General features: G+C 41.8%; 1 protein-coding gene and 1 non-coding gene across 24 annotated transcripts in view, besides 2 other annotated features; both read left to right on the top strand.

Moving 5' to 3' along the window:
• L3MBTL4 (L3MBTL histone methyl-lysine binding protein 4) overlaps nt 1-24,394 on the top strand; it is a 460,543-nt gene that overhangs the window by 21,982 nt on the left and 414,167 nt on the right. The gene's annotated exons all lie outside the window — the stretch shown is intronic.
• Nucleotides 9,361-10,146: an enhancer, noted in NCBI's record as "H3K27ac-H3K4me1 hESC enhancer chr18:6383131-6383916 (GRCh37/hg19 assembly coordinates)". NCBI's record gives its function as "activates a minimal SCP1, AML or CMV promoter by ChIP-STARR-seq in naive H9 embryonic stem cells {active_cell/tissue: H9 hESC(naive)}" and the evidence as "EXISTENCE:reporter gene assay evidence [ECO:0000049][PMID:30033119]".
• Nucleotides 10,147-10,933: an enhancer, noted in NCBI's record as "H3K27ac-H3K4me1 hESC enhancer chr18:6382344-6383130 (GRCh37/hg19 assembly coordinates)". NCBI's record gives its function as "activates a minimal SCP1, AML or CMV promoter by ChIP-STARR-seq in naive H9 embryonic stem cells {active_cell/tissue: H9 hESC(naive)}" and the evidence as "EXISTENCE:reporter gene assay evidence [ECO:0000049][PMID:30033119]".
• On the top strand, nt 18,853-18,917 carry MIR4317 (microRNA 4317). Its single transcript, NR_036205.1, has one exon. It is a non-coding gene; the product is annotated as a microRNA 4317 (primary transcript).

Genomic DNA, 24,394 nt, shown 5'->3' with positions numbered 1-24,394 from the left:
AAGTTTCTGTCCTAGGAGCATCACAGAAAGCTAACGTGAGATAGTGCACAGAGAAATTAGTTGCATATCTAAAAAAGCAAATATTTGTGATTCATATAATGTGTGATTACATTTGGCCCGTTGAATTCGCATAAATTAAATATGATGTCTGTAGGCTCTATAGGGGGTTTATTATCTTTATAGTTAAAATTTTTTTTTTTATTTCAATCACTTTTGGGTTACAAGTGGTTTTTGGTTACATGGTTGAATTGTATAGTGGTGAATTCTGAGGTTTAATGTACCCATAAGCCAAATAGTATACATTGTATCTGATATGTAGTTTTTTTTGTCTCTCATTTCCTTCCTACTCTCCCCACTTCTGAGTCTCCAAAGTTCTTGATACCACTCTATATGTCTTTGTGTCCTCATAGCTGAGCTCACACTTATAAATGAGAAGATATGGAATTTGGTTTCCCATTCCTGAGTTACTTCACCTAGTTTAATTAGGTTCCATTTATTTAGTTTTGTTCTTGTTGCATTTGCTTCTGAAGTCTTAGTAATAAATTCTTTGCCTAGGCTGATGTTTGGAAGAGTTTTTCCAAGGTTATCTTCTAGAATTTTTTGGTTTCAGGTCTTAAGTCTTTGATACATCTTGAGTTGATTTTTGTATAGGGTGAGAATTAGGGATCCAGTTTCATTCTTCTACATGTGGCTATTCAGTTTTCCCAGCACTATTTATTTATTTATTGAGACAGAGTCTCTCGTTCTGTTGCCCAGGCTGGAGTGCAGTGGCACGATCTTGGCTCACTGCAACCTCTGCCACCCAGGTTCAAATGATTCTGCTGCCTCAGCCTCCTGAGTAGCTGGGATTATAGGCGTGTGCCACCATGCCCAGCTAATTTTTGTATTTTTAGTAGAGATGGAGCTTTGCCATGTTGGCCAGGCTGGTCTTGAACTCCCGATCTCAAGTGATCCACCCACCTTGGCCTCCTAAAGTGCTGGGATTGCGGATGTAAGCCACTGCGCCTGGCTCCAGCACCATTTATTAATAGGGTGTCCTTTCTCCAATTTATGTTGCTGTATGCTTTTGTTGTAAGTATTTGGCTTTATTTCTGGGCTCTCTATTATGTTCCATTGGTTTGTGTGCCTACTTTTATACCAGTACCATGCTGTTTTGGTAACTGTAGACTTATAGTATAATTTGAAGTCTGGTAATGTGATGCCTCCAGATTTATTCTTTATGCTTAGGGTTGTTTTGGCTATTTGGGCTCCTTTTTGGTTCCACATGCCATATGAATTTTAGGATTGTTCTAATTCTATTAAAAATGATATTGGTGTTCTGATAGGAATTGCACTGAATTTGTACTTTGGGCAGTATGGTTATTTTCACAATATTGATTCTTCCCATCCATGAGCATGTGATGTGTTTCCATTTGTTGTGTCATCTGTTATTTATTTCAGCAGTGTTTTGCAGTTATCCTTGTAGAGATCTTTCACCTGCTTGGTTAAGTATAGTCCTAGTAGTAGTAGTAGTAGTAGTAGTAGTTGTTGTTGTTGTTTGCAGATGTTGTAAAGGGATTGCGTTCTTGATTTGAGTCTCGGCTTGGTCATTGTTGGTATTTAGTGGTGCTATTAATCTGTGTACGTTGATTTTGTAACCTGAGACTTTACCAAATTTGCTTATCAAATCTAGGAGCCTTTGGAGGAATCTTTAGGGTTTTCTAGGCATATGATCATATCATAGGTGAACAGTGTTAGTTTGACTCCCTCTTTTCCAATCTGGATCCCCTTTATTTCTTTCTCTTGTCTGATTGCTATGACTAGTGTTACTATCACTATGTTGAATAGAAATGGTGAAAGTGGTCATCCTTGTCTTGTTCTGGTCTCATGGGGAATGCTTTCAACTTTTCTCTATTCAGTGTGATATTGCCTGTGGGTTTTCCATATATGGCTTTTATTGTTTTTAAGTAAATCTCTTCTATGCCTAGTTTGTTGAGGGTTTTTATCATAAAGGATGCTGGATTTTATAAAATGCTTTTTCTGTATCTATTGAGATGATCATATGGTTTTTGTTTTTAATTCTGTTTGTGTGATGTGTCACATTTCTTGACTTATGTATGTTAAAATATTCTTGCATCCCTGGGATGAAACCCACTTGATCATGGTGTATTATCTTTTGATGTGCTGTTGGATTCAATTAGCTAGTATTTTGTTGAAGATTTTTGCATCTGTGTTCATCAGGGATATTTGTCTGTAGACTTTTGTTTTTTTTTGTTATGTCCTTTCCTGGTTGTGGTATCAGGGTGGTACTGGTTTCATCAAATGAATTAGGGAGGATTCCCTTTTTCTCAATCTTTTGGAATAGTTTCAGTAGGATTGGGACCAGTTGTTCTTTGAATGTCTGGTAGAATTCAGCTGTGAATACGTCTGGCCCTAGGTTTTGTTGTTGGTGCTGGTGATTTTTAAATTACTGATTCAGTCTCACTGCTTGTTATTGGTCTGTTCATGGTTTCTGTTTCTTCCTGATTTAATCTAGGAAGGTCGTATGTTTCAAGAATTTATCCATTTCCTCTAGATTTTCTAGTTTGTGTGCATAGAGGTGTGCATAGCAGTCTCGAAGGATTTTTTGTATTTCTGTGGTGTTGGTTGTAATGTCTCCACTTTCATTTCTAATTCAGCTTATTTGAATGTTGTCTCTTCTTTTCTTGGTTAATATAGCTAATAATGGTATATCAATTTTGTTTATCTTTTCAAAGAACCAGGTTTTTGTTTCATTGATCTTTTGTATCTTTGTTTTTCAATTTCACTTCATTCTGTTCTGATCCTTGTTATTTCTTTTCTTCTGCTAGCTTTGAGTTTAGTTTGCTCTTGTTCTCTAGTTCCCTGAAGTGTGACAATAAGTTGTTAATTTGTGAACTTTCAGACTTTTTGATTGGCAATTAGCATTGTAAACTTTACCCTTAGCATTGCTTTCACTGTATCCCAGAAGTTTTGATAACTTGTGTCACTATTATTCATTTCAAAGAATTTTTAAATTTCCATCTTGATTTTATTGTTAACTCAGAAATCATTCAGGAGCAGATTGTTTAACTCCATGTAATATATGTGTGTGTGTGTATATGTATATATATATAGATATATAGTCTTGAGGGCTCCTTTTGGAGTTGATTTCTAGTTTTATTCCACTGTGGTCTGAAAAGATACTTGATATGACTTCAGTTTTTAAAAATATATTGAAACTTGTTTTTTGGCCTATCATATGGTCTGTCTTGGAGAATGCTCCATGTGCTGTTGAGAAGAATATATATTCTGCAGTTCTTGGGTAAAATGTTCTGTAGATACCAGTTAAGTCCATTTGTTCTAGTGTGTAGTTTAAGTCCATTGTTTCTTTGTTGACATTCTGTCTTGATGATCTGTCTAGTCCTGTCAGTGGAGTGTTGAAGTCTCCTACTATTATTGTTTTGCTGTCTGTCTCATTTCTTAGGTGTAGTAGTAATTGTTTTATAAATTTGGAGCTCCAGTGTTAGGTGCATATATATTTAGGGTGATAGTTTCCTGTTGGACTAGTCCGTTTATCATTATATAATGTCCCTCTTTGTCTTTTTTAACTGCTATTGCTTTAAAGTTTGTTTTGTCTGATGTAAGGATAGCTACTCCTGCTCACTTTTGGTTTCCATTTGCATGGAATATTTGTTTCCACCTGTTTATCTTGAGTTTAGATGAATTCTTACATGTTAGATGGGTCTCTTAAAGACAGCAGATATTTGGTTTGTGATTTTTTTTTAAGCATTCTGCCAATCTGTATCTTTTAAGTGGATCATTTAGGCAATTTATGTTCCTTGTTAATATTGAGATGTGATGTATTGTTCCAGTCATCATGTTAATTATTACATAGCTACTTTGTTTTCTTTGTTGTGTTGTTGTTTTACAGGTTTTTATGAGTTTTATGCTTTCAAGAGGTTCTATTCTGGTGTAGATTGAGCTTTTGTTTCAAGATTTGGAACTCCTTTTAGCATTTCTTGTAGGACTATTCTGGTAGTGACGAATTCCCTCAGCATTTGTTTGTCTGAAATGAATTTATTTCTCCTTCATTTGTGAAAGTTAATTTTGCTGGATACAGAATTCTTGGCTGACAGTTCTTCTGTTTAATGAGGGTAAAGGTAGGACCCCAATCCCTTATGGCTTGGAAGGTTTCTGCTGAGTTTATTATTTTTTAAATTCATTATTTTAAAAGTGATACCTGTACCTTGTGACAAATCAGAGCCCAGAAAGGCTTATGATCACAAACGATAGTTTCCTTCCTGACTTTCCTTGTCCCTAGTTTACCCATTCCCTAGAGACCACCTCTTTTCTGTTTTAAGCACCTTTTCTGGTTGCCTCTGCTCCTCCTTCTCTTTTGCCATGCCCTTCCCTGTTAAGTACTATTGACACCTGGACTTCACTGCTCTGTTGCATGTGTTGGGGCCTTAGTAGCCTGTTTGGAAGGACCCAGGGTGTCTCAACACAGCCGGTGTCCATCTGCCTGTGCCTGGCCCCTCAGTTCCACCTCTGAGCTGATAGTCTGGTTCTCAAAAAAGAATACAAAACAAATATCCATGAATGTTTTGTTAATTACACAAATAAACCCATATATACAATATTGCTTAGCCAGATAATTGTATGCTTGCCTTTCTGTGCATTTTCAATTTCTTCTCCATTTTAGCCATTTCCCTCTCTCATCCTTTCCTTCCTCTTTATCCGTACCAGCATCCCCTGGCTCCACTGGAACTCACTTTTCTCACCTGGTAGTTTTCTGAACTCAGCTGGGACAAATTCAGTTCACTGTTTATAAAGGCTGCTAATATTTTATGGTGTGATGATGTACCATAATTTATTCTGAAATTTCTATATTGTTAGGTATCAACTTTTTTACTCTCAAAATTTGTCTGCAAATAATGCTGGCATATCCAGGGACATGTTTTATTCTGCCATTCCCGTATTGCTAAGCAGTACATTTTTTCATGTTTTTCTTCTCAAATAATGCCAGAATAACCATCCTTAATACATTTGTCCTACATCTTAGTGCTTTTATTTTTATGGCATAGATTCCCAGGAGTGGATTGTTGGTACTTGCATTTTTTTATGTTGATAAATCCTTTCAGGTTATTTTCTAAAATCACACCTAACAAAGTACCCTTGCCCTCACATCATAGCTCTTTTTAATTTTTGAACAATCTAATGGGTATAAAAGGGTATCATATTGTTATTTTAATGTGCATTTCCTTGGGCCTGGTGACTCTGAGCACCTTTTTTACCTAATTACTGGCTATTTCATTTACTCCTCCACACTCTAGATAGTGTGTCTATACCTCTGTGACTTCTTAATCAACTTTTATACACTTTTTGTTGACGTTTGCATGGGAAAGGTGAAAACTATCTTTATTTATACTACTTCTGCTCCTCTCTTTTTCAGAATAATTGTCTATGTCTTTTCCCACAAATTTTTGACAGCTTCTTTGGCTCCCTACTCATCACGATTAGGGGCTTTGCAGCCCTTCTTGTCTTGCACCTTCCCCACTGCCACCTTCCACCTATTCTTGGCTGCTCTTACACATTATGAAAGATGCTAACAATTAAATTTTATTTTCCAAAACCACATCTTCGGTATTTTTCCCACTAGATGACTCTCAGGGTTGAAAACTAGTAAAATATACTTAAAACACAGAACATTATAGCTGAAGGGCCCAGAGATGTATTTAAATCAGAACATCTCAAACTCTTCCATTAAAGAATGCCAAATGCCAGTCAAATATGTATGTACTTCTGCTCCCATAAATGCACTTTTGTGTAGATATTTAGGCAGTGTTTTCCCTTTCACTCATACTAGATTTTTGTTTTAATAAATAGAACTAGTAAATATAAATTACCCCTGAGTCTGTTAATACAACTAACTTTCTGGGAAGACTGGTAAGATTGTAGTGTGGCTTGAATGCTCATATGGGTATCCTAGTTTGAGAAACACAAATCTAACCATTTACTTCACTTTGTAGGCAAGGGAATAGTGGTAGCACAGAGACGACAGCCTTAGGTGAAGGCGTCCTGTTTCAGCTTCCCCTGGAGGTTCCCAGACCTCAATTTGGAGGATGATTTTTGATCAGGCCCAGCCTGTAGTTCCAGGCTAATTTTCTCTTGTGTGTGTGTTTTGCCAAAAACCTGGGAGTCATTTCTTTTTCTCTGTAATCCTGTCTGTCGCCAGTCCTGGCTGCTGTACCTTCGAAATGTATCTGGATTCTGGCTCATTCTCCTGCACTCTAATGCTGCCATCTACCCCCAAGCCACCATCCTCTCTCACCTGGATCACTGCTACAGACTCTTCAGTGGCCTCCCTGTTTCCACCCTTGCCTTCCATAGGGTTCCTTAAGTGCTTTCTTCTCTTCCTAACCCTTTAGTCTCATTCTCATGTCATTCATAATAAAATGAAAGTCTGTTCCAGGATCTGCAGGGTTGCCTGCAGTCTGGCCATTTCCTGCCTTTCTGGTCTCATCTCTTGCCTTCTCCCCCTTTGTGCACCCTGCTCTGTCTCCTTGGCTTCTGTTGTTCCTTGAGCAGCTTCATAAGCAGCCATCTCAGGACTTCTACACTTCTCCTTACTGGGAACACTCTTCACACAGGTCAGTTTCCACTCCCTCATTGCTTCGTGTTCAGATCCGCCTGTGGTAGAGGCCTCCCTGACATTAGCACTCATCACAACCTGGCATATGGATTATCTGTGTGTTTCTTTAGGTTCTGTTTTCAGTTAGAATGTGAGCTCTGTGAAGACTGGAACTTTGCTTTGTTTACTGCTTTATCTGCAGTGCCCAGCACAGTGCGTCACATGTAGTAAGTGCTCAGTAAAATAGTTGGCGAATGCATGAAAAGAATCTTGCTATGTTGCTCCTGGCCCTTGATATGTGACCCTTGTCAGACAGAACTGTTTGCAGTCAGTCATCCCTTCCCCAGACATCAATGGCAGGCCGTCTGCACCAAGGCCTATGCTCTTCTCCCTGTCATGCCTTTTGCTCAGTGTTCACATTTTCTCAAATATTTTTTTTCTTTCTCTACTTGTTGGAATCTTTCTCATTCTTTAAGTTCAACTCAAATGCAGTGAAACCTCCAATCTCCTAGTTGTAGTGCAGGCTTTCTCCCCTGTGTGCTTGGTGTGCTATCTGTCATTCTATTTAGTACATTCTGCTTTGATTGCAGTTATTTATATACATGGCTTATCTCTCCTACTGGATGGAAAACACCTTTCTTTAGGAAATTCTAGTCTTCCCTCAGTGCTTGTTCAGGTGCTTTTGAGTGTCACATCCTTGTGAAATGGTTGTTGAAATGAATTATGTGTGATATTTATACCTTTATCTATGGCATTGGCTCAAGTTTAGAGACAGGTTCAAATTTTGATTGACTGAGGGAGATTTTGGTGTTTCCCTAAAGACAATAAGAGAAAGTGAAGGACTAGCTGATAGACCATATAGGAATTGAGTTTATTCCTCATTCGGCCTTTTGGAGAGAGGTTTAGGAATAGGGAAAGGGCATTCTGAAAGTAATGTTGGGCAATCATTCTTGCCTTCAAGAGGATAAAGAATTAATTTATATAACTAATAATTAAGGCTTAATATGTGGAATAACTTTGAATGATTAATTTCAAAGTTGTGAAATATTTTCTTGGAGAGCTTGAAGAGTGGTTAACCAAGTGTTGCTTTGAATGGAGATGGTGGTAGGCTTAAAGGGATGAATTCTAGAACCTCATTGGACATGTTGCTTCTGAATGGTTAAATGAGTCATCTCTGTTTCCTCTGTTTTAGTGACTGTTGGGAATCTTTACCTCTTCTGTTAAGCTTGTTTAATTTTAATTTTAATGTATTATTTATTTACTTTTGAGACAGGGTCTCGCTCTGTCACCCAGGCTGCATTGCAGTGGTGCAGTCACAGCCCACTGCAGCCTCAAACTCCTGTGCTCTAGTGATCCTCCTGCCTCAGCCTCTAGAGTAGCTGGGACTACAGGCACATGCCACTATGCTCAGCCAAATACTATATATTTTTTTGAGATGGGATCTCACTGTGTTGCCCAGGCTGGTCTCGAACTCCTGAACTCCAGCAATTCTCCCACCCTGGCCTCTCGGAGTGCTGGGATTGCAGGCGTGAACCACTGTGGCCTGCCCCTTTAAGCTTTTTATCTCACTCTAATGCCATAGAAATAGTGAGATATTTTGCTTTGAACTTACGAACTTCTCTCCCTTCCGTATCCAAATTTCTGTATCATCTACTTCTCTTTTTTTCTTCCTTCTCTATTCTCCCCCAAAGGAAGACCTGTCACTCCTTCTTTCCAAGGCTGGCAGAACTCTACCTGCTCCCTGTCTCTAGGTATGTCTCTACGAGTTGTCCTTTCTCTTTTGAACATGGCATACCTCTTGCTCTTCTTGTCCCAGGTGAGCCTCTCCACAGACTGCACATACTGTTGAGTGTCCTCATAACATGGCAGCTGGCTTCCCCCAGAGGAGACCATCCGTGACAGACAGCAAGCCAGGGAGAAGTCATCCTTTTATTAACTAGGCTTGGAAGTCACTTCTGCCACATTCTTTTCAGGAGAAGAAGCAAGTCACTGAGTTTGGCCTATATTCAGAACAGGGTGGGGAATTAGAATCCACTTTTGATGCAAGGAATTGTTAAAACATTTGCAGAAATATTTTAAAATCATTGCGGCATTGTTAGAAATAGTGTCCCAGATTCAGTGAAAGAAGAGAGAGTTTTTATAAGTTTATTTGTTTTTCAAAAAGTAAAACATGCACAGGGTATACAATTCAACAGAGAAAAGTGTCTGCCTTCCACCCCATACTCTGGCTACCCCGTTACTCTCCCTGAAGACAGCCATTAGTACCACTTTGTGCCTTTCTTTTCAGAGAGACTCCAATTCCATGTGACTACAGATATATGTATATGGATGTGTCTGTATACATGAACATTTGTATGTATGGTTTGTGTGTGTGTATATATATGTATATATATGAGTGTGTGTGTGTGCATAATCCTCTTAGGCATGATTATATATACAAGAAGAGAATTTTGATGAGGTCGTGGGGAAGGCCTCTGCCTACTCAGGTAAGCAGGTTCTGCACAGTAGGGCAGCAGTGGCTTCCTCCTTCTGATGAGTGAAGAGTGTTCCTCTCTGAGGCAGGACAGCTGTCCCCAGATGTAGTTGAACATCACCATTACAAAGGAAGCTGTTTCTAAAAAGTCAGTTATTGGGCTTCCACCCTTAGAGATTCTGATTTGGTAGGTTTGGAGTGGGGTCTAGGAATTTTTATGTAAAATATTTTCCAAGGATAAAAAGGCACACCCTTGATGAAGGCAATTGGTAATATCTTTAAAAACTGTACCTGATCCTAAAGTCTTACTCACAGGTTTTTTATCCCACAATTAGAGGAGCCAGTGTATGAAATAACATTCATGCAGATTGTACAAGAAACTTACCAAAGCAAAAAACTTAGGAAACACGATTTAATAGGGATTGCTGGCAAGATGGCTGAATAGGAACAGCTCTGGTGTGCAGCTCCCAGTGAGATTGACGCAGAAGGTTGGGTGATTTCTGCATTTCCAACTGAGGTACCCAGTTCATCTCATTGGGATTGGTTGGACAGTGGGTGCAGCCCACAGAGGGCAAGCCGAAACAGGGCAGGGCGTCGCCTCACCCAGGAAGGGCAAGAGGTTGGGGAATTTTCTCCTCTACCCAAGGGAAGCCATGAGGGACTGAGCCTGAGGAACTGTGCACTCCAGCCCAGATACTGCACTTTTCCCATGGTCTTCACAACCTGCAGACCAGGAGATTCCCTCTGGTGCCTACCCCACCAGGGCCCTGAGTTTCAAGCACAAAACTGGGTGGCTGTTTGGGCAGACACAAAACTAGCTGCAGGAGTTTTTTTTTGTATCCCAGTGGCACCTGGAATGCCAGCAAGACAGAACCATTCACTCTCCTGGAAAGGGGAGTGAAGCCAGGGAGCCAAGGAGTCTGGCTCAGCAGGTCCTACCCCCACGGAGCCCAGCAAACTAAGATCCAGTGGGTTGAAATTCTTGCCGTCAGCACAGCAGTCTGAGGTCGACCTGAGACACTTGAGCTTGGTTGGGGGAGGGGCGTCCACCATTGCTGAGGCTTGAGTAGGCAGTTTTACCCTCACAGTGTAAACAAAGCTGCTAGGATGTTCGAACTGGGCAGAGCCTACTGAAACTCAGCAAGGCCGCTGTGGCCAGACTGCCAGAGATTTCTCCTCTCTGGGCAGGGCATCTCTGAAAAAAAACGCAAAGCCCCAGTCAGGGACTTACAGATAAAATCCCCATCTCCCTGGGACAGAGCACCTGGGGGAAGGGGCAGCTGTGGGTGCAGCTTCAGCAGACTTAAACGTCCCTGCCTGGCAGCTCAGAAGAGAGCAGTGGACCTCCCAGCACAGCATTTGAGCTCTGCTAAGGGTCAGACTGCCTCCTCAAGTGGGTCTCTGACCCCTGTGTATCCTGACTGGGAGACATCTCCGAGTAGGGACCGATAGACACCTCATACAGGAGAGCTCTGGCTGACATCTGGCAGGTGCCCCTTTGGAATAAAGCTTCCAGAGGAAAAACAGGCAGCAATCTTTGCTGTTCTGCAGCCTCTGCTGGTGATACCCAGGCAAACAGGGTCTGGAGTGGACCTCTAGCAAACTGCAGCAGACCTGCAGCAGAGGGGCCTGACTGTTAGAAGGAAAACTAACAAACAGAAAGGAATAGCACGTCCACTCAGAGACCCCATCTGAAGGTCACCAACATCAAAGACCAAAGGTAGATAAATCCACAAAGATGGGGAGAAACCAGCGCAAAAAGGCTGAAAATTCCAAAAACTAGAACATCTCTTCCCCAAAGGATCACAACTCCTCGCCAGCAAGGGGACAACACTGGATGGAGAATGAGTCTGATGAATTGACAGAAGTAGGCTTCAGAAGGTGGGTAATAACAAACTCCTCTGAGCTAAAGGAGCATGCTCTAACCCAATGCAAGGAAGCTAAGAACCTTGAAAAAAGGTTAGACAAATTGCTAACTAGAATAATCAGTTTAGAGAAGAACATAAATGAACTGATGGAGCTGAAAAGCACAGCACGAGAACTTCGTGAAGCATACACAAGTATCAATAGCCAAATTGATCAAGTAGAAAAAGGATATCAGAGATTGAAGATCAACTTAATGAAATAAAATGTGAAGACAAGATTAGAGAGAAAAGAATAAAAAGGAATGAACAAAGCCTCCAAGAAATATGGGACTATGTGAAAAGAGCAAATCCATGTTTGATTGTTGTACCTGAAAGTGATGGAGACAATGGAACCAAGCTGGAAAACACTCTCAGGATATTATCCAGGAGAACTTCTCCAATCCAGCAAGACAGGCCAACATTCAAATTCAGGAAATACAGAGAAGACCAGAAAGATACTCCTCAATAACAGCAACTCCAAGACACGTAATTGTCAGATTCACCAAGGTTGAAATGAAGGAAAAAATGTTAAGGGCAGCCAGAGAGAAAGGTTGGGTTACCCACAAACGGAACCCCATCAGACTAACAGCAGATCTCTCTGCAGAAACTCTACAAGCCAGAAGAGTGTGGAGGCCAATATTCAACATTCTTAAAGAGAAGAATTTTGAACCCAGAATTTCATATCCAGCCTAACTAAGCTTCATAAGTGCAGGAGAAATAAAATCCTTTACAGACAAGCAAATGCTGAGAGATTTTGTCACCACCAGGCCTGCCTGGCAAGAGCTCCTGAAGGAAGCACTAAACATGGAAAGGAACAACCGGTACCAACCACAGCAAAAACATAACAAATTGTATAGACCATTGACACTATGAAGAAACTGCTTCAACTAATGGGCAAAATAACCAGCTAGCATCATAGTGAAAGAATCAAATTCACACATAAGAATATTAACCTTAAATGTAAATGGGCTAAATGCCCCAATTAAAAGACACAGGCTGGCAAATTGGATAAAGAGTCAAGACCCATCAGTGTGCTGTATTCAGGAGGCCCATCTCATGTGCAAAGACACACATAGGCTCCAAATAAAGGGATGGAGTAATATTTACCAAGCAAATGGAAAGAAAAAAAATTAAAAATAAAAAAAGCAGGAGTTGCAATCCTAATCTCTGGTAAAACAGACTTTAAACCAACAAAGATCAAAAGAGACAAAGAAGGCCATTACATAATGGTAAAGGGATCAATGCAACAAGAAGAGCTAAGTATCCTAAATATATATGCACCCCATACAGTAGCACCCAGATGCATAAAGCAAGTTCTTAGAGATCTATGAAGAGACTTAGACTCCCACACAATAATAGTGGGAGACTTTAACACCTCACTGTCAATATTAGACAGATCAACAAGACAGAAAATTAACAAGGATATTCAGGACTTGAACTCAGCTCTGGACCAAGTGGACCTAATAGACATCTACAGAACTCTCCACCCCAAATCAACAGAATATACATTATTCTCAGCACCTCGTCGCACTTATTCTAAAATTGACCGTATAATTGGAAGTAAAACATTCCTTAGCAAATGCAAAAGAATGGGAAGCATAATAAACTGTCTCTCAGACCACAGTGCAATCAAATTAGAACTCAGGATTAAGAAACTCACTTAAAACCGCACAACTACATGGAAACTGAACAACCTGCTCCCGAATGACTACTGGGTAAATAATGAAATGAAGGCAGAAATAAAGATGTTCTTTGAAACCAATGAGAACAACAACACAATGTACCAGAATCTCTGGGACACATTTAAAGCAGTGTGTAGAGGGAAATGTATAGCACTAAATGCCCACAAGGGAAAGCAGAAAAGATCTAAAATTGACACCCTAACATCAAAATTAAAAGAACTAGAGAAGCAAGAGCAAACAAATTCAAAAGGTAGCAGAAGACAAGAAATAATGAAGATTAGAGCAGAACTGAAGGAGATAGAGACACGAAAAACCCTTCAAAAAATCAATGAATCCAGGAGTTGGTTTTTTGAAAAGATCAACAAAATAGATAGACTGCTAGCCAGACTAATAAAGAAGACAAGAGAGAAGAATCAAATAGACACAATAAAAATGATATAGGGAATATCACCACTGATCCCACAGAAATACAAACTGCCATCAGAGAATATCATGAACACCTCTACGCAAATAAACTAGAAAATCTAGAAGAGATGGATAAATTCCTGCACATATACACCCTCCCAAGACTAAACCAGGAAGAAGTCGAATCCCTAAAGAGACCAATAACAAATTCTGAAATTGAGGCAGTAATTAATAGCCTACCAACCAAAAAAAGTCCAGGACCAGACGGATTCACAGCTGAATTCTACCAGAGGTACAAGGAGGAGCTGGTACCATTCCTTCTGAAACGATTCCAATCAATAGAAAAAGAGAGAATCCTCCCTAACTCATTTTATGAGGCCAGCATCATTCCGATACCAAAACCTGGCAGAGACAAAACAGAAAAAGAAATTTTCATTCCAATATCCCTGATGAACATTGATGCAAAAATCCTCAATAAAATACTGGCAAAACGAATCCTGCAGCACATCGAAAAGCTTATCCACCACGATCAAGTCGGCTTCATATCTGGGATGCAAGGCTGGTTCAACATATGCAAATCAATAAATGTAATCCATCACATAAACAGAACCAATGACAAAAACCACATGATTATCTCAATAGATGCAGAAAAGGCCTTGGACAAAATTCAACTTGCCTTCATGCTAAAAACTTTCAATAAACTAGGTATCGATGGAACATATATCAAAATAATAAGAGCTATGTATGACAAACCCACAGCCAATATCATACTGAATGGGCAAAAACTGGAACATTTCCTTTGAAAACTGGCACAAGACAAGGATGCCCTATCTCACCACTCCTATTCAACATAGTATTGGAAGTTCTGGCCAGGGCAATGAGGAAAGAGAAAGAAATAAAGGCTATTCAAATAGGAAAAGAGGAAGTCAAATTGTCCCTGTTTGCAGATAACATGATTGTGTATTTAGAAAACCCCATGATCTCAGCCCAAAATCTCCTTAAGCTGATAAGCAACTTCAGTAAAGTCTCAGGATAAAAAATCAATGTGCAAAAATCACAAGCATTCCTATACAACAATAACAGACAAACAGAGCCAAATCATGAGTGAACTCTTATTCACAATTGCTAGTAAGAGAAGAAAATACCTAGGAATACAACTTACAAGGGATGTGAAGGATCTCTTCAAGGAGAACTACAAACCACTGCTCAAGGAAATAAGAGAGGACACAAGTAAATGGAAAAGCATTCTATGCTCATGGATAGGAAGAATCAATACCGTGAAAATGGTGATACTGCCCAAAATAATTTATAGATTCAATGCTATCCCCATCAAGCTACCATTGACTTTCTTCACGGAATTGGAAAAATCTACTTTACACTTCATAGGGAACCAAAAAAGAGCCCATGTAGCCAAGACAATCCTAGGCAAAAAGAACAAACCTGGAGGCATCACAGTACCTGACTTCAAACTATACTACAAGGCTACAGTGACCAAAACAGCACGGTACTGGTACCAAAACAGACATATAGACCAACAGAACAGAACAGAGGCCTCAGAAATAACACCACACATCTACAACCATCTGATCTTTGACAAACCTGACACAAACAAGCAATGGGGAAAGGATTCCCTATTTAATAAATGGTGTTGGGAAAACTGGCTAGCCATATGCAGAAAGCTGAAACTGGACCCCTTCCTTATACCTTATACAAAAATTAACTCAAGATGGATTAAAAACTTAAACATAAGACCTGGGACCATAAAAATACTAGACAAAAACCTAGGCAATACCATTCAGGACATAGGCATGGGCAAAGACTTCATGTCTAAAACACCAAAAGCAATGGCAACAATAGCCAAAATTGACAAATGGGATCTAATTAGACTAGAGAGCTTCTGCACAGCAAAATAAACTCTCATCAGAATGAACAGGCAACCTACAGAATGGGAGAAAAGTTTTGCAATCTATCCATCTGACAAAGGGCTAATATCCAGAATCTACAAAGAACTTAAACAAATTTACAAGAAAAAAACAAACAACCCCATCCAAAAGTGGGCAAAGGATATGAACAGACACTTCTCAAAAGAAGCCATTTATGCAGGCAACAAACATGAAAAATGCTCATCGTCACTGGTCATCAGAGAAATGCAAATCAAAACCACAATGAGATACCATCTTAACACCAGTTAGAATGGCGATCATTAAAAAGTCAGGAAACAACAGGTGCTGGAGAGGATGTGGAGAAATAGGAATGCTTTTACATTGTTGGTGGGATTGTAAATTAGTTCAACTATTGTGGAAGACATGGCAATTCCTCAAGGATCTAGAACTAGAAATACCATTTGACCTAGCCATCCCATTACTGGGTATATACTCAAAGGATCATAAATCATTCTACTCTAAAGACGCATGCACATGTATGTTTATTGTGGCGCTATTCACAATAGCAAAGACTTGGAACCAACCCAAATTTCCATCAATGATAGGCTGGGTAAAGAAAATATGGCACATATACATCATGGAATACTATGCAGCCATAAAAAAGGATGTGTTCATGTCCTTTGCAGAGACATGGATGAAGCTGGAAACCATCATTCTCAGCAAACTAACACAGGAACAGAAAACCAAACACCACATGTTCTCATTCATAAGTGGGAGTTGAACAATGAGAACACATGGACACAGGGAGGGGAACATCACACACCTGGGCCTGTTGAGGGTTGGGAGGCTAGGGGAAGGATAGCATTAGGAGAAATACCTAATGTATGTGACAGGTTGATGGGTGCAGCAAACCACCATGGCACGTGTATACCTATGTAATAAAACTGCACTTTCTGCACATGTACCCTAGAACTTAAAGTATAATACAAATAATAATTAAAAAAACCAACTCAGGAAACTCGTATGAAGAAAAGTGGACACGGCCAGGAGAGGAGGTAAGATTTCTTCACCTATACCTATTTATATGGTCTTAACTTTCGAACGAGATGAGTTTGTCAGTTACTCAGTATGTGAATGGATGAATTTGTAACCAAGCAAATAAACAAAATACAACACAGTGCTCCTGGTGGTCAGCCAGGTTTGTGACCCTTGAGACAGGGGGCCAGGTGAGGATCAGAGAAATCCACTTCCTCTCTTTTCCCTTTTCCTGTTTGTGCTCCGTGCCCTCCTCCAAAGCTTTATTTGCTTTTGGTTGAGAGAACTTTCTGGAATTTGTGATAGTCAGCGTTACTAATGTCCTTAGATAGTTGGCACTGTGTATCACCTTTTGTAAATACACAATGATTTCAGTGTGAGGGCAGGAGAGGACAAATCCCATCTTGCTACCTTCATTCCTCCATTCAGATATTCATTCAACAGATATGATAAGCTATTAGCAAGGGCCATACACTGTTCTAAGTGCTCAGGCTATGCTAGTAAGGAAAGTAGTTGAGGACCCTGACTATGTTTTTTGTTTGTTTTTTGAGACAAGGTCTCACTCTGTCACCCAGGCTGGAGTGCAGTGATGCCATCAAGGCTCACTGCAGCCTCAACCTCCCATGTCCAAGTGATCCTCCCATCTCAGCCTCCCGAGTAGCTGGGACTACAGGTACACACCACCACACTCAGCTAATTTTTGTTGTTGTTGTTGTACAGATGGGGTCTCCCCAGCCCAGGCTGGTCTGAAACTCCTGGTCCCAAGCAATCCTCCCACTTCAACCTCCCAAAGTGCTGGGATTATAGGCATGAGCCACTGTGCGCAGCTGGGGCCTTACTTTATGTACCCTGTAGATAGGATAGACAGACAACAAATATGCAAAACAAATGAACAGACAGTGTAATTTCATCAAGTGTTTAGTGATTAAACTAAAACAGACTGATGTGACAGCGAGTCAGGGGGTGCTACTGTGGATAATTTTCACGACTGACAGGAGGAGGTGATGTTTGAAGTGGGACCTACATTAAGAGAAGCAGGAAGCCCTGCAAGGATTTGGGTGCCGTGCTCCAGGTGGGCTGCAGTGAGTGCACAGGTGCTGAGGAGCATTTTGCTGGGCACCTCTGGGGACAGTGGGAGGGCCACTGTTGCCAGTGAGGCGAGCAGGGAGAAAGCAGACTGAGACAGTGGGGTCGGAGAGCTTGAGGGGCTAGACCCAGTCCATATGTGGCCTTGTAGGACTCAGTGACGAGTTTGGAGTTTCCTTAATGTGCTGGGAAGCTACTGGCAACTTGAGCAGGGCAGGGATGAGTTCTTAGCCACAACACTGTAGCCACATGTTTTGGGACACCTCATGTTTTTAGCGTGTCTAAACCTAAACTAGTGCCCTCGCCTGAGTTTGTGCTTTTGCCTATTTCTTGTTGAGTGGCTCTGCTCACATTGCTGCCCCAGTGGAGATTTGACATCCAGGCCAGGCCCTTCTTTCTTTATTATTGCCCATGTCTGTTCTGTCACCAGGTCCTATTGGATTCCACCCCATTCTTTTTGGGTTCTTCTCTATTTCTCATCCTGACTGTTGCAGTTAAGCCATTGTCATCTCATTTACTAAATTGGTATTGACGACCTCCTGTGCCCCAGACGTTATTCCAGGTGCTGGAGATACAGTGACAAAGAGCCCTCTCGGAGGGCTCAAGTAAAGGAACTAGGATGAAAAGTGCTGAGTGTCATGCTAAGGGAAGCGCTGGCTGTGGAAGTGTCCCTCACCTAGCCTGGGATCGGGGTGGTGGTTGCAGGAGGCATCCAAGGAAATGACATTTACACGGAGGTCTGAGGGGCAGCGAGGTGGTGGGAAGGTGGCTCCAGGTAGGAGGTGAGAAGAGAGCGCACAAAGTCAGGTTGTAGCACAGTCTGGCTGGGAAGAGAAGTCGGCTGGTCAGGTGGGGAGCCAGGTCAGGAGGTGCCTCAGAAGCCGTGGCAGCCTGGACTTTATCCTTAGGGCGGGAGAGCCATGGAGGGGCCATAAATGGGGGAGAGAGAGCCAAGCCGTAGAGGCATTTTAGGTCCACATATGGACAGTAAGTTTGGAAGGTATAAAGACTGGAGTTCCTGTATCGACTGGGGCAGATGCAGTGATCTAGGTGGCCGCCAGTGGAAGGCACCTGTGAGTCAGGGTTTGCAGTTCCTGTGTGGACGTCTGAATTAATTCTGCAGATCAGACTGCGTTACACTGCAAGAGCAGCCCGAGTTTCCCAATGCACCAAAGCAGAAGCTTTTTGGAAACCTATATATTTTTTCATACTATTGGGAATTTCTTCAGAATATGAAGGCTTTATCGAATTGTGTCTGAAATGAATTTCATTTAAATACTGAATTAATTGAAAGCTTTGCTTCTGAATATTTTTCCATAGATTTCACGGTGCTTTAGAAATTTCATTTTGCCTCATGTTTTAGTACTGGCAATAACTGCCAGTAATAGAAGTGGCAGTGTTGAGGGAAATGGTGGTGGCGAGTGTGGGATGGTCTCAGTGGGCAGCTTTCTTACGATGAGGAGAGGCGGGGCGTGACTGGTTCTATCGTGTTTTCACTGGGACCAGGACTCACTGTGGAAGGGCAGGAAGTACCACTTAGTGGTGAGAACAGCACGCAGGCTCCAGTTTACCATTCTGGTGATTTGACTTTAATGAAGCCCTTTGGAATTTTGACTGTAATCATGGAAGAGGTCATTTGCTTCTTTATTTGTACAGCTTTTTGTATCCATCTGTCCCACGAATATTTGTTGACACTCACTTCCTGTTAGGCACAATCCCACAAAAGAAATGTGGACTTTGCGGATGAAGTAGACCTCAATGTTGCCTTGCATCTAAAAGGCGAGACATTGCCAGGGAGTTTATTTTGTAGCTCTCTTGATAAAATGTTTTAGCAAACACTAGCGTGCCAGGCTTGGTCCTAAGCCCTTTGCCGGTGTTAACCCATGTAATCCTCGTGACAGCTCTGTGTGCTTGGTGCTGTTGTTATTGGCATTTTACACAAAAAAGAACCAGAGCACAGGGGATAAGTGACTCGCCCAAGTCACAGCTGTTCAGTGGCAGTGACTGGATTTGAACCCAGCCACTGCCACTCCAGAGCTGGATTTTCAGGAAGATGTAGCAGGAGTGTGAAGGGCGGGCATGTACATCTGCTGTTTGTGTGTTCACAGGGGAAATGTGGGCAACCAGGGAGGGCTTTTATTTTACTTGAATTCTTCAGAGACCACTGATACACATGGAAGATGAAAAATTACAACAATGAAGAAAAGTCCTCTCTTAAACCCAAAAATTTTGTTTCTGCTATGAATTTCTAAGACCTTCCTTAAAAAAACCCCAATAATTTAGCTTTGTCAGTATCTTAGGAAACAAAACAAAACAAAATAACACAGTTTTTCCTTTGAGTAATCTGTCACATTCAAGTTTATTATTATTATATTTTAACATTTTAGTTTATGGAAGTGGTAAAGTGGGTTTTTTTTTTTTATCAATTCACTTGACATTTGGGCAGATCTGATGGAGTTTGTAAAGCAAGGCCTGCACTATAATTCCCTTGTACTTTCTGTGGGATTTTCCTACTGTGATTCACTCGAAGATGTATTTTGTACGGTGCATAATCTGTTTAATTGAGAGTTTGCTTTGCCAACACTGGGTTGGCTTCCTTGTTGGCAGGGTACATTTGGGTAGAGCGACTTCTCTTTGCACTTTGTCAAAGCTCTAAGATCTCACTGTGTGTAGGGGTGTGTGCAGGGCAGATAGGAATAGGGGTTTGGTGAAGAACTAGGCATGGCTGCTGCCCCTACAGCAGATCAGCTAGAGAGGAGTCAATGTCAAGGACGTCTAGTGGAGTGTTGGTCTGCGTTTTTATGCAAGTAGGAATGGAAGGGACTTTACTCCTGTTAAACCTGTTGGAGAGCATGCATAGGGTAGCTGAAACCTCAGCCTTTTGACTGCCCTTTGGGAAGGTTTGATAAAAGACTACTTTGTTTCAGGTTGTTTCTTTACTGTGCAAGAGACAAGCTCTCCAGTTCCCAGCACGGATGAGGTTGCAGAGACAAGGATGCGCAAACTGGATAGCTTCCCAGAATCTGCAGAGTCACATCTTCATGGTGCGGCCTCATTATATTTCTTAGAGAAATTTTTTTCCCCAGAATATTGTGGGGGAGAGAACCATGTTTAAATATTAACATAACATTTAATGAAAGATCAGATGTATGTGATTTTTTGCATCATTCTGTTTTGGATGACAGTTTTCAAAAAGGAAAAAATAGTGTATATTTAAATGTGCTTTGCAACAATAAAGCACTTAACAACCATTGATTGTCATCTTGCTTCAAGAGGATACTGAATTTAAACTTTCTTCCCATTATTTGCAAAATATAATTATGGTGGGTTAAGTTCCTGCAGGAAAACATGTTTTAAGTGAAAGAATTGGAGTCAGACTGTTGTTCCTTTTTTTGTTTTTAAAGAAAAATGATCACAAAGAAAACACTGAAGCAATTTACATATTTTCAGCAATTACATATCTGTCCATTGGGTTATAAGTAGGGTGATCATATAATTTAATGTACAGGTGAGGACACTTTGGAGAGTGAAAGGGGGCACTTACTGGATTGGAAACAGTAGGTCAGCAGGTGTGAACTGGGATTGCTTTGTGCAAGACCAGGAGCTTTCACCACTCATAGTTTAAGAGGCCTTGCGGAAGAATGGATATTGAAAAGAGGAAAATGAAATAAAGAGTTGCAAATTTCTATTTAATATTGAAGAGAATTATAGTTGGTTCTGGGATTTGATCTTACCTTGCTTTCAAACTAATAAGACACTGTTACAAATAAGCCTGTGTTATTTGTCATGGGTGCTGGCAGAGGACACAAGACTCCTGGGTCAGAGGCAAAGGGGTGTCTAATTCTTGATACAGCAAGCACACCAGCATCGGCATATTTATGTCAGTTTCCCTTGCCCCACACATCCCCATAGGGCAGCTTGCTATGGACCAGGTGGATGCTGGGCATGCAGTGTATTTGCATCATAGCAGAGTTGCACATCTAGGCAGGGGCAGCCACCACTTTTTTAGCAAGCAGTAAATAAGCCTAGTCTTTCCCAGGGGCTGAGAGAGGGAGGTGGAGAAAGGAGGAAAGAAGTTAACTCATCTTTCAAAGTTACCAGCTGCATAAACAACCTTAGGAAATGGCCTGGGTGGAGGGGTGGTCAGGGCCTGCAGTCTTGGCACCCCTGACAAGATGTGTAGGGGCCCAAGGGCCCAGGAGCACTGTCTCTCCCAACAGTTCTGAGTTGTGACATGTATCTTCTTTATGGCTTCAGGCCTGTGTTCATTGCGTCAAGGTAGACATTGAAGAGAGGCTATTGTGGAGAGCCTCATGGAATTCATGTATGTCTTTATGGTGATATTGATAAGCTTCTTGAGAAACTGAGCCTGGAATTAAAATAATGATTTCTTACAGTGTTCTGAAACCAAGAACAAGATCAAATTATTAGGTTTTCTGCTTTATTATAGGTTGGCATCTATTTTCTTAACCACAGTTCAGTGACATATGCATTTGTAGCTAAATTAGGAAAGTTCTCTAAGCATTATTTGTTATTACCAAGCACCAGTGCCCTGCCTTAACAATTCAGTAACATTTGGGGCGGGAATTGTAAGGCCATTTTTTGGAAGATATGCTCTGTGGTAGTAAGGGTTTTGGTGAAATTTTGGAGGATGATTTGCCAGGCAGAGTTGGCTTTCCTCAGGATCGTGCAGTGCTTTATGCTTGAATTTCCTGGGTGTGTTGCTCTTTCCCAACATGAGGCTGGGCTGCCCTGGGCACTTAGCTTCCTCTGAGAGGCTCTCCCCGCAGGGTCTCGCTTACAGAGTAACCAGCCCTGGTGCTGTCTTCCACCCTCATCAAAACTTGCTTTTCACAGGCATTTCCAGAACTCCGCTCTGTGTGTTCTGCCAAGTTCTCTGATGGTTTGTATTCTGGTTCATCAGCTCACAGTACAGGTGTAAGCCAGGGGGTGGCAAGCCATAGCCTAGTGGCCACATCTGGCCCGCCGCCAGTTTTGTCAGTATTTTTACTGGCACGCAGCCATGCCCATTTGTTTTCATATTGTGTGGCTCCCCTCATGCTCTCATGGCAGAGTTTAAGTAATTACCGCAGGGACTATGACCCTCAAAGCCTTAATATTTACAGTCTGGACTTTAAAAAAACAAAACAAAACTGTGCTGACCCTGGGTCTAAGTTAATAAATCAACTGGACAGAACCCTCCTTGGCGCGACTAAGACTTGCTCCTGTGCATTCCCCACAATGCTCTGTGCACAGAAAGTGCTGGATCTGCATTTGATAAGTGAGGAAAGATAAGCGCTGGTTGGTGAAATGTGCATGAAAAGCGCTGGCCTCCAGTCATGGAAACCCAAACGTCTTTTCTTACAAATTTTTAATTTTTTTAAATTTTTCTGAGTCGGCTTGCTTGGTGGGGGCAGTGCTTCAGCCCTGTCCCTGTCAACTGGGGACAGTGTGGCCTGTGGGTTTATCAGAGCAGCTGCGTCTACCTCCCGGCTCAGTCTCCCAACAGGGAGGACTCTTCACCACCGCCAAACCTTTGAATCATACACACATTTAACTTAGGTGACTTCATCTCTTTTGGCCACCAGTAGTGGGTGTGATTCTGCCACTGCCCTGGGTGGGAGGGGGGACCTGCTGTACCCTCATGTGTGCTGGGTTCTGTAGGCCCCCAAGGGACTGTGCTGTGCTGAACGGGAGGCGTGGTTTCCCACAGCTGCTCATAGACGGGCGGCTGGTGATTCCATCTGGGTTCCCATTGAAGAACCTGCAGTGTCTCCCCTGCTGGAACAAAAGCTGACTTCATTGCTCCTTTAGAGGCATTTATCATTTTCCAAGTCTGATTTGATTGTATGTAATTTTTCCCTTTGCATGAGGACATTATAGCCAATCTGCTATGTTTATGATTTATGCATCAGGATTTATGCCTGCTCTCTGCTAGGCACTGTCCTGGGTGCACAAGCAAGAGAGGAAGACCGACCGGATAAAAATCTCACCTATGCCTTCCCTTCACCCTTGTGTCCAATAGTAAGCCAGGTCAGTGCTTTCTTTTTTTTTTTTTTTTTTTTTGAGACCGAGTCTCACTCTGTCACACAGGCTGGAGTGCAGTGGCATGATCTCTGCTCACTGCAACCTCTGCCTCCCAGGTTCAAGCAATTCTCGTGCCTCAGCCTCCCAAGTAGCTGAGACTACAGGCACGTGCCACCATGGCCAGCTAATTTTTGTATTTTCAGTAGAGACAGGGATTCACCATGTTGGCCAGGCTGGTCTCAAACTCTTGACCTCAAGTGATCCACCTGCCTCGGCCTCCCAAAGTGCTAGGATTATAGGCGTGAGCCACTGTGCCCCACTGGTGCTTTCTTTATAAGGCATTTTACTACCATTTCTCCTCTTTAACCAGAAACTGCTGGTTACTTTGCACCTGGGCTATTCTAGCAAATCTTCCAGCTGGGTTCTGGGACTCCCTGACTCTTGAGTTCTTGTCCTGTGAATGTCATCCCAGGTCTGTTGCATATCCCCCTTTCCAACCAAATCCAGCTGTAATCCTGCTTGGCTTTCACAGCCCTCCATGAAGCCTTCCTGGGCAACATGATTTCCTCTTATTCCTCATGAGAAATTGCCTTCCGTGTATCTGAGCTCTTTTCTGTTTCTAAGCCATGGCCTGTGTTATTTCCCTTGTATAGAGTGATCCCTTCTAAATATTCTCCTTCCTCTGTATAAGGCTTCTCAGCCTTAGCACCATTGACAGTTTTGGACCAGAGAGTTCTTTGTGGTGAGGGGCTGTCCTGTGCATTGTGGGATGTTTAACAGCATTGCTGGCCTCCGCACACCACATGCCCCCAGCATCCCTCCCTGCCCGTCCCCTGGAGGACACATTCCCTTGCTTTCAACCTACTTTCTTATATCTTCTGTTAGTTTCTTATTTACAGCATATTGATGAATTATGATTTTTATACAGATGGCTGATTTCTGTCTTTTAATTTGTGTAATTTTGAGAACCACTGCTCTCAAACCGTATGTGGGGGACACACTGCCCCAAGCTGTAGCCCCGCTTCTCCAGGAAGCATCTGTTGACTGCAGCCCTCGCTCACCTTCTCTTCCTTGGACTAATGTAGTGCTTGTGCATAACAGGCATTGACTTTTTTTTTTTTTTTAATTTTTGAGACCGAGTCTGTCTGTGTCACCCAGGCTGGAGTGCAGTGGCGAGATCTCGGCTCACTGCAGCCTCCACCTTCCGAGTTCAATTGATTCTCCCACCTCATTTTCCTGAGTAGCTGGGACTACAGGTGTGCGCCATCACACCCGACTAATTTTTGAAT

Source organism: Homo sapiens, chromosome 18 (genome assembly GCF_000001405.40).
Source record: "Homo sapiens chromosome 18, GRCh38.p14 Primary Assembly".
Taxonomy (NCBI): domain Eukaryota; kingdom Metazoa; phylum Chordata; class Mammalia; order Primates; family Hominidae; genus Homo; species Homo sapiens.
The sequence above is the reverse complement of the archived record's forward strand: the minus strand, read 5'-3'. Positions and strand labels throughout refer to the sequence as shown.